Source organism: Homo sapiens, chromosome 2 (assembly GCF_000001405.40).
Source record: "Homo sapiens chromosome 2, GRCh38.p14 Primary Assembly".
In the NCBI taxonomy this organism is placed as follows: domain Eukaryota; kingdom Metazoa; phylum Chordata; class Mammalia; order Primates; family Hominidae; genus Homo; species Homo sapiens.
Genome location: NC_000002.12, coordinates 129,466,465 through 129,474,999, shown reverse-complemented (window position 1 = coordinate 129,474,999; position 8,535 = coordinate 129,466,465).

Sequence of the window (8,535 nt, the reverse complement as noted above, 5' to 3'; positions counted from 1 at the left end):
ATTTTTATTTGCCTCTGGGTATTTTCTAATTATTTTGTGATTTCTTCTTTGACTTATTGTTTGTTTAAGAGTGTGCCAGTTAATTCCTATAAATTTGTGAATTTTCCAGATTCATTGTGTGATTGATTTGTAGTTTTATTCTACTATAATTGGAAAATATACTTTACATGATTTCAATCTTTTCAAATTTATTGAGACTTTTTTGTGGCCTAATGTATAATCCATCCTGAAAAATGTTCTATATGCATTGAGAAAAATGTTTTTAGTGTTGTTCACTAAAAATATAAGTTAAAAAAAAAACCTGACAATACTAATTGCTAGCGAGAATGCAGAGCAACAGAAACTCTCATTCATTGCCCAGCCTCAGTGGAAGACAGTTTGGCACTTTCTTACAAAGCTACACAAAGTCTTATCATAAGATCCAGCAATGACACTCCTAGGTATTCACCTAAATGATTTGAAAACACAAAAACCCATACTTGAATATTTATAGCACCTTTATTAATACTGAAAGCACTAAGATTCAACAGGTAAATGGACAATCAGACTGTGGTATATCCATACATGTGGTTCTATCTATACACATGTACTATTCAACAATGAAAAGGAATAAGATTTCAAGCCATACAAAGAGGCAGATAAGTGTTAAGTGCATGTTGTTAAGTGAAAGAAGCCAGTCTTTGAAAAGGCTACTTTCTTTATTATTCCATTTATATGGCATGCTGGAAAAGACAAAACTATAGAGAAAGTAAACAGATAAGTGGGTGCCACCAGTTTGAGGAGAAGAGAGGGTTGAATAGATGCAACACAGGGGATTTTTTTAGGGCAGAGAAACTATTCTGTATGATGCTGTATTGGTAAAAACATAACATTATGCATTTTTTAAAAACCTTAGAACTTTAACAGCATAGAGAGTAAAACTTAATGTATACAAATTTTTAAAAAATAATTTAGGAGGAATTAATTTTTAAAATATCAGCAGATCCCAGGGTGGAAAGTCGACTATGAGAAAGAAAATATCTATTATAAGTGTATAAAGTGACCTCAATAAAGGAGGTAAGAGAAAAAGGTGCTAACCTAAGTAACTTTGGAGATGAATGGGGACTGTGAGGCTAAGTACAAAAGACACTGCTGGTAAGTACTGCATGCTTGTTGTTCACTTCTTTCCCACAGTGGTATAAGTTAACAGGGCAACAGGTTAATGCTTCTGAAATGTTCATATAGGTACACTGGAATTGAACTATACATAATAGAACATAGGGTGAAAAACAACATGATTATCTTAATTGATGCTGAAAAGGCATTTGGTAAAATTCAATTCCTTTACATTCAATAAACTAGGACTAGAAGGCAACTTTCTCAACATGTTAAAGGCCATCTATGAAAACTCACAGCTAACATCATACTCCTTGATGAAAGACTGAGAGCTTTTCCCTAAAACTAGGAACAAGCATGCTCAATTTTGCCATTTCTATTCATCAGAGTATTGGAAGTCGTATACTAACTAGGCAAGAAAAATAAATAAAAGACACATAAACTAGAAAGGAAGAAGTAGAATTATTTTTGTTTGAAGATGACACGATCTTATATGTAGACTCTAAGGGTTCCACAAAGCAACTATTAGAGCTAATAAAGAAATTAAGCAAAGTTGTAGGATACAAAATCAACATGCAAAAGTCTGTCAACTTCTATACACTAGCAATCAATAGTCCAAAAAAGGAAGTTAAAAACAATTAAATTTACTGTAGCATTAAAAATAATAAAATATGTACCAATCAATTTAAGCAAGGTTAAAGAGTTGCACACAGAAAAGGCCAAAACATTGCTGAAAGAAACTGAGGAAGGCATACATAAATGGAAACACATTCTGTGTTTCAATCCATGGATTGAAAGACTTACTGTTAAGGTGACAATACTATCAAGTAAAAGTATAGATTTATTGCAATCCTATCAAAATCCAAACAACACTTTTTTATAGAAATAGAAAAACCCATCTTAAAGTTTATATGGAATCTCAGTGGAACCCAAACAGCCAAAACAATATTGGAAAGAAAGAACAAAGTTGGAAGACTCACACTTCCTTATTTCAAAACTTATTAAAAACCTACTGTAATCAAAAGAGTGTATTACTGGCATAAGTACAGGCATATAGATCAATGTAATAGAATAGACAGCCCAGGAAGAAATCCTTGTCAACGGATTTTTGACAAGGGCATCAAAACTCTTCAATGGAGGAAAAGAACAGTTTTATCAAAACTGGCGCTGGGAAAACTGGATATACACATGCAAAATATTGATGCTGGACTCTTACATTCTAACATATGCAAAAATTAACTCAAAATGGATTAGAGACCTAAACATAAGAGCTAAACTTATAAAACCCTTAGAAGAAAACATAGGGGAAAAACTTCATGACATTGGACTCGGCAATAATTTCTTGGATATGACACCAAACGCTCAGGCAACAGAAGAAAACAATATATAAGTCGTATTTCATCAAAATTAAAATTTGTTGTGCATCAGAGAACACTATCAAGAGGGTGAAAAGGCAATTCACAGAATGGGAAAATATTTGTAAATTATATATCTAATAAGATATTAATATCTAGCATATATAAAGAATTCAACAATAAAAAACCCAAACAACCCAATTCAAAATAGGCAAATAACTTGAATAAATATTTCTCCAAAGAAGAAATACAAATGGCTAATAAGCACATGAAAACATGCTCAGTATCACTAGTCATTAGGTAAATGCAAATCAAAACTGCAATGAGATGCCACTTTACACTCATTTGGATTATTTAAAAAAAAGAAACACATTCAGGAGAAATCTGAACTGTGGTGAATTTCTGATGGGAATATAGAATGGTACAGCTGTGGTGGAAAGCAGTTTGGCTGTTCCTCAGAAAGGTCAATGTAGGATTACTATATGATCCAGCAATTCCACTGCTATGTGTCTCACCCAAAAAATGGAAAGCAGGGTCTCCACTAAATACTTGTTCACCAATGTTCATAGCAGCATTATTCACAATAACCCAAAGTCAAAAAGAACCCAAGGTCCATCAACACACATAAACAAAATGTGCTGTATGCATACAATGGAATATTACTCAGCCTTAAAAAGAAATGAAATTATGATACAAGCTACAACATGAACAAACCCTGAAAACATTATACTAAGTAAAATAAGCAAGATACAAAAAGATGACAAGTATAGTCTTATTCCACTGATGTGAGGTACATAGAATAGGCAAGTTCATAGAAACAAAGTAAAATAGAGGTTACCAGGGGTTGGGGGAAGGGGAATGGAAGTTACTGTTTACTGGGTATAGTTTCTGTTTAGGGTAATGAAAAAGTTCTGAACATGGATAGTGGTAATGGTTGCACAACATTGTGAGTCTACTTAATGCCACAAATTGTACAATTTTGTGTGTGTATACACACACACACACACATATATTTATTTATTGGGACTGAGTCTCACTCTGTCACCCAGGCTGGAATGCAGTGACATGATCTCAGCTCACTGCAACCTCTGCCTCCTGAGTTCAAGCAATTCTCCTGCCTCAACCTCCTGAGTAGCTGAGACTACAGGCACATACCACCACACCTGGCTAATTTTTTGTATTTTTAGTAGAGACAGGGTTTCACCATGTTGACCAGGCTGGTCTTGAACTCCTGACCTCAAGTGATCCACTCATCTTGGCCTTCCAAAGTGCTGGGATTACAGGCGTGAGCCACTACGCCTGGCCTATGTTATATATATTTAAAACAATATTGCAAAACCTCCCAGGTGATGCAATGTGTACAGGGATGATAACCTTCCTTTATTTTTATTTTATGTTATTTTGAGATAGGGTCTTGCTCTGTTGCTCAGGCTGGAGTGCAGTGGTGGGATCACACCTGGCTAATTTTTAAATTTTCTGTAGAGATGAAATCTCCCTATGTTGTCCAGGTCTTGAACTCCTGGACTCAAATGAACCTCCAACCTTAGCCTCCCAAAGTGCTGAGATTACAGGCATGAGCCACTATGCCAGGCTGATAACCTTCCTTCAAATGAGCTTCTTCACAATTCACTGTCCATGTGGTAGTATAGACATAGACTTCAAGTTAAATAATGTAGCATAGAAGCCTGACTTTTACCATATGTACTGGGGTGGGGTACATTTTTAAATTCCCTAATAGTCAAATCTTTCATCTGTAAACTTGGTATGTTTCATAATGTTCTTTTGAAAATTAAACAAGATACTTCTCACAAAAGGGTTAGAAAGGTATATGGCACCTGGATGTGCAATGGAATAAGCACATGCAGATACCTTGGCCTCAGAAACCAGCAGGAAAAAGGACTCAAGCCCCTTTCCTATAAGCCCAGTGTATTGTGTGTGAGGCCTGAAATTCCTGCCATGGACTGTAGGTACATTGACAAGTTATTTGATCTTTCTTAGCATTTGTAATCCCATCTATAAGTGGGGAGAACAATCTCTACCTATTTTGAAAGGCTGATGTTATACTTGGCACGTGGTAGAAATCTGATGAATGATTGTTGGTATTATTGGTGTTCTTGTTATTCAATGACCCCAGGAGTAGAGATTTAGTCTGAGACTCAGTCCTTGCAGATCATGAAACAAACTATCACGTTGATTCTGTTTTCTCCTCATCTTCCTCTTCATCTGCCTCCTCCCTCACATAAGCATATTTCATGTTGGCCAACTCTTATAGGCAAGTTTCTCAGCAGGGCTTCCTGGAATGTGCTTGTACATTGCCCCCTCCTGCATTGCTCCCTTCTCAGACCCCATTAGGTGAGGTAGCATTCTAAAGAGCTGCTCTAATTCCACTTGAACATCCCTAAAATCAGCTAAGCCGAGGCAAGTAGCAGCCCATGCAGCCTCATTGGTATGCATTCCACTCGAGAGTGTGGGCACGGTAAATGACACATGAATTATGTATGCCAGCGTTCGGTACAACATTTAGCATGCCTAAAGCAGCATGCATTTTGAGGGAAAGTCATTTTGATTCTGTGATATATTTCACATCCAAATGATTAGCAGGATCCAGGGCCTGCTTACTGGTTGGTGTCTAGAGCTTGCTGGGTTCAGAACACATGTGGCAGCAGCCCCTGCTCCAGTTCTGCAATCCTCTACCCAAATTGGGAAGCCTCTCTCCCATTGATCCCTCACATTGTGCTAAATCTTCAGATTTTAGACTTTCTTATTCCCTGCTATGTGCTGGCTTCTCAAGCATTAAGTTCAAGCTCAATTAAACCCAGCCTCTCCTTCTAAACCTCATGGCAGACATGATACCCAAAGACCACTTTGCTCTGGGCTCCACAGGGCTATGGTTCTGCAATCCTTCTGCAGTGATGCCAGGATTCACATGAATCATCCTCTACTCACCGGGCACAAGGAGTAGAGACGGCATTCTTGGCAAGGGAGCTAGTGAGTGCCTCCCTGCACAGCTGGGGAGCTGATTAGGGAACTTTATCTATAGAAGTGAAGCAGATCACTCCTGAACTCTCTGTGGTGCCCCGAACGTGCCAGTACACTCTGCCTCTGCACTCGGTCTCTGCCTTCTTCATTTGAAAAACTCCAGGCATCCTCTAAGGATCTGTTCCAGCTGAAACCTCTATTAAATTTTCCCTACTTCTCCTCTTTGCTGGACCCCACAACCATCCCCTTCTCCCCACAAAAGAAACACACAAAACAAAAACAAAATATCAAATGGACACTCACCCTGTCTAGTAAAAGCCCATTTTTGAACACGTTACAAGTACTGTCATTCTTTTGTCCCCACTAGATTCCTAGCTTCTTGAGACACAGAACTATGCTCTCTTTTTAACCAGCCTCTAGCATCATGCCTAGTGCTGGGAAGTTGCACAATAAGCTACATCTTGATTTTGTGAAAATGTGATTTATTCAAGAGATAGCGCTTACACAAAGTGGCGCGTGGCTAGAGGTATCAGCGACTTAAAAATCAGCACACTTTGGCTTCAGTACTGGCCTCATTCCTTACCAGACTCTTGACCTTTGACAGATTTACCCAAGTCTGTATGGCTTCTTTGGCCAAAAGGACAAAATCAAAATAGTTTAAGACATCAGCCTTGTTTAACCCACAGGGTGGATGTGAAGGGCTTTCAAGCATATGTTACCTGGAAGAATGTGTTCCAGGGAACCATGTGTTACCTGGAAGAATGCATTTCACTTCGAAAGCATTCCTAATTTCATCTTAATTATTTGAAGAAAAGTTCTTAGAAAGTTAGATATGGTATCTGAAAACTGTCACGTACATCTTTCCTATTGCCTATACTAAAGGATATTGGACCAAGCAAAAATAACATAGCTACTTTGCTTTGGAAAGCACTCACTTGTTCCTGAAAGGTAAGACTGGGAGGCAAATACAACAGCTTCCTTGCCAAACTAACTGCTGGATACATCAGTACTCACTTCAAGACCCTCACCTGTCTGTGTCCATGGATCCTAATCTGTTATGCAAAAATCCTTTCCAATCCTAGTCTATTTCTTTCCTCAAAAGGCCAGGCTTAAAGTAATCTGGCTCATACCCTAAAATCCTACAGATATCCTCCTAGGGGTCTCCTTTTTGAGATGTTGCTAGAATTCTGTCAAGGTAGTATTCTTCCTTAATGCAATAATTTGATAAACTCAGCCTTACCCAGTCAGCTTTCTTATTTTTATTTTTTTGAGACAGGGTCTCACTCTGTTGCTCAAGCTGGAGTGCAGCAGCATGATCACAGCTCACTGCAGCCTCGACTTCCTGAGCTCAGATGATCCTCCCAACTCAGCCTCCCTAGTAGCTGGGACTACAGATGTGCACCACCGTGCCTGGCTAATTGTTTTTGCAGAGATAGGATCTTGCCATGCTGCCCAGGCTGGTTTCATACTCTTGGACTCAAGTGATCCACCCGCCTCAGCCTCCCAAAGTGCTGGGATTGCAGGTGTGAGCCACCATGTCCAGCCCTCAGTCACCAGTTTTTAGTGGTCTTTTGGGCAGCTGTCAGCCTATGGCCCAAACAGCTAAAAACATCATACTTATTTGGATGTCACATGATCTCTCAGCTCTTTAAATCATTGAAGATCAGGACAGCAGCAACAAAACCCTTAAGGTAGGAAAGCCACAAGAATAACCATGCACTCTATTTCATGCGTTTTACTCACCAGTCAGAGAATAGAATTTTTTCCCCTCCAATCTAGTTGCTTCTGTTCTCAATGCTATTCTATAGCCTTGGTTGCTTGATTTCCCACCCTACATCAAAAAGAAAAACTGCTGAGCCTTTACAGAAGTGTGGACATGGAGTCTCTCTTTTTAGAGCCAGAGAGCACAGGGCCCTCCAAATTGCATCTGGCCTGGAGGGCACCTGCCCAGCATGCTGCCTCAGAGACAGAGCCCCGCTGCGCCCCAGGACAGTGCTTCCCCAGACTTAGCACCAGTGCTGTCTGCCCCAGCTCTGATTCCTCACCCGTCCAGTGGACCCTGCTGTTTTGTCCCTGTTATTTGGTGCTGTGGGTGACTCCCCAGGCCAAGTCCCTCAGAATCGAGCTGGACTCTGGTACCTCTCCAGAAAGTGCCTGTCTTATCCATGTCCGAGCTGGGATTTTTGGCCCAAAGATAATGTTTCCTCTACTTCCTGAACTAATTCAATTTAACGTGAACCTAATCAAAACGTGTGTGTTAAGCCTTCTTTCTCACGTGGCCCACCACCTCCAGGCATCTCCTGCAGGCCACCCAGGACGCCTCCAATCAGCCTGCACCAGGTAGAGCCATCCCAGCTTCTCCGGAACTTTCCCTTGTCCTGCACTATCCCAATGAATGATGCTACTCTTCTTCTGGCCATTTAAGGGAAAAACCTGGGCAGTGCTCTGAAGTCCCGTTCCTCTCTTGCCAGCCCCATCTCATCACCTGTCACCACCCCAGGAGATTCTACTTCCTCAAGTCTGTTTCTCATTCTAACTGCTCACTCCCTGTCTCTTAGATTATTTTTGTAGTTTCCAGAAATGCCGCTTTCAGAAATTGGTGTCCAGCCTCAAGTCTCTGCTCTCCCCTTGGCCCCGTCCAAGTGACTCTGCCTAGCTACAAATCAAATGGCGCCACTTCTCAATTAAAACCCATTAGCCCAACCCTGGCTGCCCTTTAGAATCACTTGGCCTTAAAAATACCGAGCTAGCCCCACTCCTAGAAACCCTGATGTGATGGATTGGCATCAGGGAGTCTGAGCTTCCCAAGTTCGCCAAATGATTCTAATGTGCAGCTGGAATTGCAGACTCTGCTGGAGGACAAGGCCCTCGCACCTTGTGTTCAGCCAACCCCTCACCCTCCCCACCATGGTGGACACGCTCCTGTGGGCCAGACCACACGCAGGCCTCCACCTGCGAGGACGGCCCCAGCTCTCAGCGTCTCTCTTCCTCCCCTCCTCTGCCGGCGCCATGTGGCAGATGCTTACCTTCTTCTGGGAAGAGTCGAGTGAAGGGTCACCTTCTCAGTTAAGTTTTTGGTCCCTTCTGGGTATGATGGCGGCTTCCT